The sequence below is a fragment of the Homo sapiens genome, chromosome 2, assembly GCF_000001405.40.
Source record: "Homo sapiens chromosome 2, GRCh38.p14 Primary Assembly".
Classification (NCBI taxonomy): Eukaryota; Metazoa; Chordata; class Mammalia; order Primates; family Hominidae; genus Homo; species Homo sapiens.
The window spans coordinates 55,855,491-55,867,643 of NC_000002.12; the positions used below are offsets into that span (position 1 = coordinate 55,855,491).

Below are 12,153 nucleotides of genomic sequence, written 5' to 3' on the forward strand. Positions count from 1 at the left end.
ATAAAGAATATGCTCATTTTCTAGCTTGCCCATTGAGGCAGAGACTGCTAACTAGTGACCAAACCTGTTTGCTCTTCTTCCTGGAGAGATAGCCAGACTCTGTTTCCCAGCCTTCCTTGCAGCCAAAGGAAGAAGAGCAGAGTGATGTAAGCACCTTCCACACCTTCCCCCTAACAAGTTCTCAGATTCTATCCTTCATGCTTTTTTCCACCCACCTCCTGATGTGGGATGAGCACAGTGACCTTGGAAGTCAGCTGTTGAAGGTGATAGAGCTCCAACATGGGAGAAGCTCAGATAGATCCATGAATCTACTTGGAAACAATTGCCTGCCTATCAGATTATGGGAGCCAGAAACCTATACTCATTCTCAGCATGTTCCTCTGCCTCACTTTCTGCTTCCAATCCATTGTTAAGTCCTAGTTTTCATCTCCTATATACAATATAATCTGTTCACTTCTCATGCTCTCTAGCAACACTCCTGCCCAAGTTAACATGTCATCTTTCCCCTGGCTGCTGCAATAGCTTTCTAACCTGCATCCATCTGAGCCCACTTCCAACCTATCTCCAGGCTAAACGGAATTTTTCCAAAGTGTGAATCTGATTGTTACTTACCTGCTTAAAATATTTAAATACCTTCCCATTGATATAAGAGTAAAGACACAACTTCTTTACTCTAAAGTTGTGTCTTTACTCTTTACTTTGCTCTTTACTACTTCTTTACTTTAAAGTTGTGTTTTTACTCTTTATAGATTATACTGTAGCCAGCCTTATCTGTGGCTCCAGCTACACTGGTATTTTGGTTGATTGGACTGGGTCCCAGAAAATGTTCCCTCCCTCCAAAGGATGTTTGCATGAGCAGATCCCTTTCTGAATGTTTTTCCCTACCTATTTTATGTAGTTAACTCCTACTCATCTTTTTTTTTTTTTTTTTTTTTTTGAGACGGAGTCTCGCTCTGTCGCCCAGGCTGGAGTGCAGTGGCGGGATCTCGGCTCACTGCAAGCTCCGCCTCCCGGGTTCACGCCATTCTCCTGACTCAGCCTCCCAAGTAGCTGGGACTACAGGCGCCCGCCACTACGCCCGGCTAATTTTTTGTATTTTTAGTAGAGACGGGGTTTCACCGTTTTAGCCGGGATGGTCTCGATCTCCTGACCTCGTGATCCGCCCGCCTCGGCCTCCCAAAGTGCTGGGATTACAGGCGTGAGCCACCGCGCCCGGCCACTCCTACTCATCTTTAAGATCTCAGTTCAAGAGACACTTTTCCAGGGAGGCTTGAGTAGGTCATTTGAGTTTCTCCTTATAGGCTCCTGTAGCACCACATTCCTTTTTTTGTAGCACGTGTCACAGTTGCAATGTGCAAAGTATATTAACATGTAATTTCTAAAATTACATTCGTCTGTAAGATTATTTGATTACTTTGTCTCTCCAATAAACTGTATATTCCTTAAAAGTAGATATGGTGTTTAAACAGCCATTGTATCCATGTTTATGAAGAGGAGTAAGGAAAGAGAGAAAAAAGGTTAGGTAAATAAACTGATGGATGGAGTGAGATTTTTCACCACATGATTCATTATTAGGAGTCAGGATCTTGGTTGAGTGTTTGGAACAACGAGGTTTACGAGGTTTCTTGACATGTTGCTTGTTGTGTTTTGCTTCCTTGCCTTTGTGCATAAATTCCTTTCTGCTGAAACACCCTTTCCTTACTTGAAGAAATCCTATTCTACCTTTAAGATCAGCACAGGTGTGCTTTCACTGACCTGCTCTGATCAGGGTTAACTGCCCTCAGCTATGCTACCCTAAGAACATATTCAGTCTCTGGAGAAAGACGGATCTTGTTTCCAGTCTTGGTTCTGCCCCTGCTTGATATTTGGGCCTAAACAAATCACTGAATCTGTTTCTTCACCAGTAAAATGAAACTAATAATTCCTTCTTCACAGGGTGAATGTGAGGAGTCAGATAAGGGGTTGAAAGCAGCTTATGAATAATAGATGGTCGAGAAATAGTGACTTTAAAAAAAATGGAACCCAAAACATTGTTTATTTTCCCCACCATATTGTAAGTTTTTTGAGGTCAGAGACCATGCCATTTTTATCTTTGCTTCCTTAGTACTTAACATAGTGCCTGGCACAGGGCAGATGCCCAGTAAAATGTTTATTGAAGTGAATGATACTAGAATTATAAGGCAAGATCCAGGAGCTGGGGTATGATCAGGGGTTTAGACAGTCACAGATTGACCTCTTTGAGGTCTTTGCCTTTTTATTAATGGCTGGTCAATAGATCTTAAAGGGAAGTCAAGGCAGATAATCACTGCTAAGAGACAAGCAGGGGAAATAGAATGTTGAAGCACCATGAGAAAAACTCATCTGTGGAGACCAAGGGTTGAAATATATTTTTCAACTCTTCAGCTTGAGCGAGACATCGGTAACTCTTTAATCTACAGTTGCTATTAACAAGAGTAAATGTTGCTATTGGCAGTGGGGAAAGTTTGAAATAAAGGGCCACTTCCTGTACCTACAATATGTACCTTTTTTCTGCCTAGTCAAATATTGCAAGGCCCAGAATATGTGTCCTTTCTAATTTGCACAAAAGCACTATTTAAGCTAGTGGCAGAACTGCTTTGTGCTCTTATTCCAGGGATGTATCCAGGTTTTGAATGAAGCTTATATGTATTTGAAGGCTCACTTTAAAGAAAAAAAATATAAAATTGTAAGTACAAAATTAGACACAAAAGTAAATTTTTATTTAGAATGATGTAAGAAATTACAATAAATTATACATTTTAAAAGCTGATAAATACAGCAAAAATCTCAAAGTCTGGGAAAATAACATTTTTTGTTAATTAACTGCCTAACACTCCTTTGTAATACTTTTTTCCTACTTTTTTAATGCATATTCTGGTTGCCAATAAATGCAATTTTGTATTATTTTCTGTAGAAAGAACAGTAAAATAAACCAGGTTTTCCTCTAGCCTGGTTAAGTTTTTTTTAAATTGGTAGTTTATAAAAGTTTCTTTGATTTCACAATTCATTATTACAATATCATGCAAATTTTTGATATTGCTCTCAGATTTGGGAACCTCTATCAGATTTCTGTCATATCAGATCTATATGAGTTCAGATCACTCCAAGTGTTCTTGTGCAGGGACTACTCTTAAATATCCTTTGAAATGGTCACACTCATTAGCCAGTGAGTTCTGATGTCCTGTTGTGGTGTATAATTACCAGTTTTCTGTTACCTTCACTGATATTAGTGTTCTAGATCAAAGTAGCAGGACATTTATGTTCTTCCCCAGTGTGTTCATATGATTCATAGTCCTCTCCATTAATTTATTAATCAACTCAAGAGTCTATTTATTACTTCTATTTGAAATTTATTTCTTCTTCTCAAAAATGATCACTTTTGGTATTATCTGAACATCTTTTTGGTTACAACTCACTTTTTATTGTCAGAATAATTTCTGGTGAGTTCCTAGAGAAATATATGAAAATATTTTCATGGTATGGTGCATTTATAGTTGTATATGCTGCATAATTAGGTATATTCATGAGTAGGCATTGATTAAAACCACATCCTCTGCTTATTATTTTACATGTCTGGTGAATGGAAGGATTTTCCATAGATTAATTTATAGCTCTGCATATTCCAAAACTTGTTTTTCCTCTGCTATTTACATCCATTGTTGGATGCTGTAGAATGTTATAGTGTGATGGGACTCCTGGCCCTGAACTTTTGGGCATGCTGTCAGCTATGGTCAACACAGAGGGTGGTGGGAATATTTCTAGAGGCTATTCCTACCCCAGACAGGAGCTCAAATTAACCATACATAGAAATGAATGTTAACTATATAAATATATCCTACTAAATCCAAACTAAATACACTCTCCTAACTCCACTTTCCCAGGCTGGATCTCAAACATACTTTTGACGCACTTCAGAGCCACGTGACATGTGAAGTGTGATGAGGGGAGCCCAAGATGAAAGAGTAATTCTAACCAATACAGCTAAAATGTATTATACAAATTTTACAAAAATATATAACTATGTGAACATAGGGTCCCTTTCAGGACCTTGGAAGGGGCTGGTGCAAGGGAGGAGCCTTGAAGCTTTAGCTTCATTAGCTTCCCTGAACATTCACTTTTGAAGGGCTACTCATTCTATTTAGTACTCTGCAATTGGACTTGTGATGAGCTCTAGAATCAGATAGGCTCGTGGTATTAACTATACAGTACCACTTTGCATAGTATTATATGTGTCCTTGAATCTAATTCAGTGTCATTGGCTGAACCATGTCCATTAGCCTTGGACATGGTTAGTGCCTGAGCAGAAGAAGAGAATGAGAGAGGAAAAGGAAGAAAAGATGGGAGAATGACCAGAAAAAGGTCAAGGAAGAGATTTATGTGGTATGAAGCCATCAAGCCAGTAAGTAACAGAAGCTCCATTTGTCAGAATCATCTAGCATTGCACTGGCGTCAGTCAGCAAATGTTGATGTCTGCCGCAGATCTCCTTAGCCATATGAGTTTACTGCATGGTGCAGTAGCAGTTTCTAGTTTGCCAACAGCATCCTCTATCAAACCCCTATCTTTCTTACCCTCTGCCTGAGGGCTTTCTCCAGTATGAGGAAGCACACCCTCCTGCAGGCAGTGTGTATGGGCAACACTTACCACAGGGACGGGAGTTGGTAGATAAATGCTGCAGCCCATGTGGCCTCTAGTGGAATGTTTCTCAGGTGAGTTCCATATGATTTATCAGAGGACTTGAGCTACAGTTGCTCACAGAGGTGATCCACTCATTTACTCACGAATTCATTGGCATCTCTTTCTGGCTCACTTTCCCCACTCACTCAAGTTTGCTTCCCAAGAGAACCTCTCAACCTACCAGAACTCAGTTTTTATGTCCGAATCTGCATCTGGGGCAACACAAACCAAGACACCTTGTTTAAGCCATTTGCAAGTAATTTACCACTTAAATAAACATAATGTAAATATTAAAATACAAAAACATAAAATGGGGTTTTTAAAGGAAATAAACAATTTGGAGATACTCAACTCAACAAAATCATTTGTGTTATATGCATCTGTTTAAATATCATGCTGAGATTTTGCAGAAACTACTTTAGTTTCTATGGGAAGATAAAAAAGAACCGAATTATTGCATTCAGGTCTTTAAAATTCTCTTGCATTTATATTCCAACTCTGGCTTATTAAAGGGGTCTGTGCTCCGTTAACATACACATGCGCTTACTATATAAACAGCTTAACTAGACATCTGCATTGACTGCATATAAGAGGCAGTTAACTTTTTGCCTTGTTTCTGTTCAACGATCTTGATATTTTAGTCTGCTGGCCAGATGAAACAAGATTGGTTTTTGGGTACCAGATGTGTCACAATTTGGGTTTGAATTTTGCAGGTGCTCCCCCCAGCTGGGAAGATGGAAGTTTGCCATCTTTTAGAGATGATGATTTGGGATAGAAGTAAAACTGTGTTAAAAATAATTCAACATATTAATAGAGGGCCTTGTCCCTTGTGGGCTTCTTATGCATAACATATGAGCAGACCAGCAGCTGTTCTATATTTTAAAAGGAGCGTTAGAAAGTTAGAAGCATACATAACTATTCAAAACACAAGCAACCGCTTGAAGTCATGGAAACAAGACTCAACAATAAACTTTTATTTGTGAAGCTTCCCCAAAAATAATAATCCCACTGGGCTGTGTTCAGGTGGCCTTAGGGTACTGAACAATCTTTCCATTTCCATCATTTGAATTCACTAAAGCATCTCCCTTGTAAATGAAGAGTGGTAGAAATTAGTACATGTACTAGATATGGGGATTGGTTTCTAGCTGATTTCTACTCTTCAATACTTATATTTTTAAATTATAATTTAAAAAATACCTATGTATTTTTGCCATTTTCACATGTGCAAGAACCTAAAGCCCCATTGAGGACTGAGTTCTTAATAGTGTCATATCTTGTCTTACTCTCAGCCTCTAAAACAGAAGCTGTTAGGTGATGATGTTCCTTGTACATATTTGCACCTTCGAAATTCACCTAATGAATGTTAACCAGTGTCAAGGAACGGCAATGTTCTTTACCCTTGGCTTTATAATAATCCTTACAGCAGGAAGGACGCTGTATGCTTTTTTGTCCAGCTCCTGGACCAGGGGAGTGTTAGACTCATTCTATCTTCACCACTGTGTTAGGTCGCCCTTGCATTGCTATAAATAAATACCTGAACTGGGTAATTTATAAAGAAAAGAGGATTAATTGGTTCACGATTCTGCAGGCTATACGGGTAATGTGATACCACCGTCTGCTTCTGGTGAAGACCTCCGGAAGCTTACAATCATGGTGGAAAGCGAAGCAGGGAAGTAGGTATATCACATGGCCAGAACAGGAGCAAGGGAAATGAGGAGGAGCCAGACTTCTTTAAATAACCAGCTCTCATGTGAATGTGTTCCTGCAGGGAGGGCACCAAGCCAGTCATGAGGGACCCACCCCATGACCCAAACACTTTCCACCAGGCCCCACCTCCAACATTGGAGGTCACATTGCAACATGAGATTTGGAGGGGAGAAACATCCAAACCGTATCAATCACTATTGCTCTCAAAGCTCCCCATTATTGGTAGAGATCCATCTGGATCTCTACTAATGGCCTCTTTTCTTCTGGAAACTGCTGTCCTCTCAAGTATAGTGAGGTCTACATGACTGGTGTTTGCATTTCAGTTTCCAGAATTCAGGAGTATTTTGGGTAACACAATTACTTCTGCCTGTCTGGAGTTAAAGAGAACAATAAACTACAGTTCAAGAAGGTTATAAGAATCAGGTTGGTGGTATCTATGTTATTTCAATCCGATTGCATGTGAAAGCAGCGATGAAAAAGTCATGCAGCCAGAAAGGCTGGCCCATGATGTGGAATGGACACTGTTCAAGAAGGGGTTTAAAAGGAAAGAGATTGCTTGTTGGTGTTGAAATTTGGAGTATGGCCAATGAAAAGAGCCCTAATCTAAGTCATAAGAACTGCATTCTAGGCATAGCACTCTTGCTCAACAAACTGCGATGTTGTGCAAGTCTTAAAAATAAGAGATTTTTTACAGGATGGTATCTAAGTTCTAGAATCCTATTATTATTAAAAATAAGGGTATGAAATAGGAGATATTTTATATTTGGAGGAGATGGAGATTGCCAGTTGTTAAAGAAACTACTTAAGAGGGAAATTTGGCAGCTGAAGTTAAATTATTCTCTTTTAGAGAGCTTAACAACCAAGAGGTCTTTCCTAACCACTGTAAAAAAATAACTGTGTCCAGTCAGAGAGCATGGAAGTCTCAGAGCCCAGGCCACAGGTATTACAACAGTGAAGTGTTGGAAACATCTACGTCAGTCCTCATTACTGAGGCTCACTGAGTAAAAACATAGGCATTTCCCTGAAAGCATGTTTGGAAGTGTGGGAACTCATGACTGGCCATTTTTTCCACTGGTGAGATAAGGTATAATGACTTCCAGTTTAACATGAGTAATCAGATTGCAATTAGTTTCAGTGGAAAGGAACAAAAACATGCATAAGAGTGAATACTAAAAGTAATTGTTGTTTGAATTGCAATTTAAAAAACATAGTTAAATTGGATTATTTCTTACGTGCTCAGCGTTAATAATGAGACCATAAAGTGAAGATATGTTTTTTTTTGGTGGGCACTATTCATTTTTTTCTTCCACCAATGATAATGCTTTCTAATAGTCGCTGCGTACAAAGAAGACTCAGATGCTTTCAAAGATTTGGCAAATAGAGCTAACTCTTCTTTCAATGGCGCATTCCTGGGAGATATATAGATATATAGATATAGATAATTTTCTTTCCTGAGACAGGGTCTTGCTCTGTTGCCCAGGCTGGAGCGCAGTGGTGTACTCACAGCTCACTGTAACCTCTACCTCCTGAGTTCAAGTAATCCACCCACCTCAGCCTCCCAAGTAGCTAGGACTACAGGAACATGCCACCACACCTCAGTAATATTTGTATGTTTTTGTAGAGATGGGGTTTCGCTATGTTGTCCATGCTGGTCTTGAACTCCTGGCTCAAGTGATCCACCTGCATTGGCTTCCCAAAGGGATAGGATTACAGGTGGGAGCCACCACACCTGGTTTTCAAAGCTGGAGGAAAACCTTGTTTCAATATCCCACTTTTATAGATTAAACCAAGGTACTGAGAAGCTAAGTGACTTCCCCAAGATCTCTTGGCTGGTTATTTTAGAATCAAGACTAAATAGACTCTTGGTTCTTCTATACCATCACACTATTAGACATTGGAAGGAATTACTTTAGAATTTTCTCAATAAATGCTGAGAAAATTATGATAATAAATGACTGTGACAATAAATTATTTCCATAATTTTCATCTATGGGAGCAGGCTTAAATCAGTGATTTTCATGGAGGGAAGGAAAGAATCGTGTGTAGTTTGAAAACAGCAGAATTTTGTCCTACTGCTTTGATTTGTTTTTAGACATGATATTTATTTTCAATTTCAAATTAAGAGAGCATGAGATATTTACGTTTATTGAGGATGATTGCACCTATAAAGGAACTCATGTATTAGCTTCTCAAAGCTTTTTCCAGGTTTTTGCTTCCATGAATTAAAACAATTTTTTTAAACTTGCTATTCTTTTTAGTCAAAGGCCAAACTAAAAATGGGTGAATTTAGGCTGTGAAACTAGTGGATGAATAGTCTAGGAAACAGTTTCTTTTTGACACCCAAGATTGAAAAACAATAATCACAGGTATAAACAGCTTATCAGCTGATGTTCATTAACTGATGAATAAACAAAGTGCGATAGATCTATACAATGGAATATTATTCAGTTGGAAAAAGAAATGAAGTACTGACACATGCTATAACATGGCTAAACCTTGAAAACATGCTGAGTGAAAGAAGCCAGACACAAAAGGCCACATATTATTGTATGATCTTATTTATATAAAACGTCCGGAATAGGCAAATCCATAGAAAGTAGATTGTTGACTCCCAGAGGGGCTTATGGGAAGGGGAAATGGGAGTGACTGTTAACAGGTATGGGGTTTATTTTTGAGTGATGAAATGTTATGGAACTAGATCAGTGGTCCCCAGCCTTTTTGGCACCAGGTTTGGTGGAAGACAATTTTTCCATGGGTGGGGATAGTGGGGGATGAGGGTGGGGAGGGGTGAGGGGATGGTTTGGGGATGAAACTGTTCCACCTCAGACCTCAGATTACCAGGCATCAGATTCTCATAAGGAGCACACAACCTAGATCCCTTGCATGCACAATAGGGTTCATGCTTCTATGAGAATCTAATGCTGGGATGATCTGCCAGAAGGCAGAGCTCAGGTGGTAATGCTCGCCCACCACTCACCTCCTGCTGTGCGGCCCGGTTCCTAACAGGCCATGGACAGGTACCAGTCTGCAGCCCAGTTGTTGGGGGAGTGGTTGGGGGCCCCTGAACTAGATAGTGACGATATTTGCTCAACACTCTGAGTGTACTCCATGCCACTGAACTGTACACTTTAAAATGTCTAAAATGGTAAATTTTATCACAACAGAACAAAGAAATTGCCTCAGTGAAACTTCAGTATCAACCCTCTTCCTTGTGTCTGTAATTTGTGGGTAGGACTAGGCTTTGGGATAAAAGGGCAAACATCTTGTCTGCAGTTAATGGCTTCCGCAGGCCCAGAAAATATATATATATATATATATTTGGAGGTAGAAATTGAGGGCCAGGGCTTAGCATAAACATTTCAGAGATTCCTGTTTCTTCTACAATTCCCTGGGGAGCCATAGACAAGACCGGTTTTCTTGTTTAAGAGGGAAAAATGTGTTGGAAGAAGGTCTTAGGCTTTTTTTCTTTAACTGTTGCTATTCCCAGCTCTCACTTGAGAGCTGTTTTTGTATGTAGGAAAATCACTAGATTGATTAAAAATGGAAACATTTAGATCAAGCTGTAATTTATCTTGACTGTAAGCAACCATGTAGACAGGGTAAGAGGAATGAACTCAACAGTCTTGCTGTGTTGTGGCTGGTTGTTGACTCTGCTTCTGTGCTGTCCCTTGGTCAGATCTGTTCTCTCTCCACTGTTTCTGTGCCCCTTTAACCTTTAAGAGCCCATCCCCTACTCTCACAGAAGGAGTTTGTGTTTTGTTCCTTGGGCTTTTGCTGAACTTTCTTTTTGGCAATTTCTGCACATGAGTCAACTCTTTGAGAGGTATTTGTTTTAGCAGCAAGATTACCTGGTGACAGAGGTTATGCATATATGCTGTGAAACTAGACTTAAGAAAAAGTTGGCTGTTTTGTGGCATGATTTTAACTGTATTTTTGCTTCCTCATCTCCCAGTTTATTTATTAAAAAAAAAACCTAATGGTAGTTCTTGTGCTGGCACCTATAACTGATGTTTATCCCAGATATAAAAATTATATTGGGGGCTACTGACTACACTGAAAAACCTCCAAAGATAGAGTGATCTTCTAAAGGAATATTTATTTTTATTTAAAAATATGATACATCAAAGTAAAGCAGTGACATTTTAAACAAGGAGACGTATAAAATATTCCATAGAATTGGGTAGGAGGGTAATTTGCTTAAGTTCACTGTCACTCTGGATGCCAGGAATAAAAACCATCATCATTTTCTTCCTCTGTGAGCATCAAGTACGAAGATGAGAAATTTTAGTTATAAATTAGTGAAGTGTTAGGATTTAAATTTTACTTAGAAATTAAAACTTCTCCAGTGAAATACCTTTTATCCATTTTGTTCTGCATCTTGTGGAAGTCCTGAATTCAGGGATGTTATTATATTTTCCGAGTTTGCTTCTTCAGGTCAGTTCCAATGTGGTTTAGAAGGAATTTATTTTCTCATATCCTCCCCATAGATTTCTCAATAGTATAATTTTCTAGGGGATATCTGGTTCATTTTGGGAATTCTGGAAAATTTTGCTTACTGTTTTTTACAAAATATTCACAATCTAAAATTTCTGACAAAATTAAAAATACCCTACAGAAACCAGCATATTGTACAGCAATGATTTATTACTATATAATAAACAACCACCTTTAGGCTGGATATGAAAATAAAAACCAACACAAATATGGCAGATCCCCATTTTCTAAAGAAATATATCTTTATTGACCTTTTCCATTTTCTTACAAAGCAGTTAAAAACTCATTCTTACCCTTGCATGCTATTCAATGGTTATGATGGCTGCCTCCTTATGAGACTGTTAGTGGAGCTCTAGTAAGTTTCCTTAAGCACCACAGAAGATCATCATTGCTTGGTCCCACTTTTATAGGAAAGAATCCAAGTTTCACCAGATAGTGTATACTTAGCTCTCTTGAAGAAGACCAGTTTAGTGGATTAATGTCTAATTTACATATAGTAATAAAGACAAACTTTGAATCTTTACATATTAAATGCCCACTTTATACCATGGTGTAATTGTTTGAATTATGGGTGAGTGTACAGTATAGAGATGTAGATGCACTAGATATATCTATAAATAAAATAGTGCTTTAAGGTAACAATATTCTTTGGCTGACTTAAATGCCTGTGGTTGACTCTTAGAAAAGACTAAAATGAAAATGGCCCCACTATTATTGTCAATCTTAACACAGAGCTTGTGCGGAAGGTCCCTATACTGCTGACTGTCAGCATCTCCAGGTCCACGATATGTTCTCTTGGTCCTGATAATGACTTCACGAGCACAAGCATTGCACTTACAGGACTTGTTTGCTAAAATAAAAGAAAATAGAGAAAGGAAGAGAATAATTTTCTTGGATTGGAGTTTCTATGCTTTGTTAGTATACCTCCTATAAGAATTAGGGGGAGAATTTTGAAGGTGGTATAAAAGAGCCACTACTTGGTCCCTTCTTGGTTTCAACTCTTCTTGGCTCTTATCCCTTGTCTAATACAGTCATTAGCTCCAAGTTTCAAGGACTTGCTTTTTTTTTTTTTTAAATAGTTCTTTGTTTTTGATTCCTCCCTCTCTGTTAACATTTTTCTTCACTTTTATTGAGTAGTTGTGGACTTTACAGAGACTAGAGCTTAAGTGAGAATCTGATAATTTCTAAACTTGTAAACAAAGTTGTCACTTTTCATTTTCTCAACATTGTGCATCTGTTTACATTCTAGTAAGTAAAGA

At 38.5% G+C, this 12,153-nt stretch overlaps 1 protein-coding gene and 1 long non-coding RNA gene across 5 annotated transcripts in view; one reads left to right on the forward strand and one right to left on the reverse strand.

Annotated features, from left to right (window-relative positions):
* The window catches only part of LOC112268416 (uncharacterized), a 53,528-nt gene that overhangs the window by 31,333 nt on the left and 10,042 nt on the right, over positions 1–12,153 (forward strand). The gene's annotated exons all lie outside the window — the stretch shown is intronic.
* Positions 10,477–12,153, reverse strand: part of EFEMP1 (EGF containing fibulin extracellular matrix protein 1) — a 57,816-nt gene continuing 56,139 nt past the window's right edge. For all 4 annotated transcript variants that reach the window (XM_017003586.3, NM_001039349.3, XM_005264205.5 and 1 more), the window contains one exon: positions 10,477–11,744. In XM_017003586.3, coding sequence (XP_016859075.1) covers positions 11,583–11,744 — 162 coding nt within the window. In that variant the 3' untranslated portion in view covers positions 10,477–11,582. The remainder of the gene's footprint in view (positions 11,745–12,153) is intronic.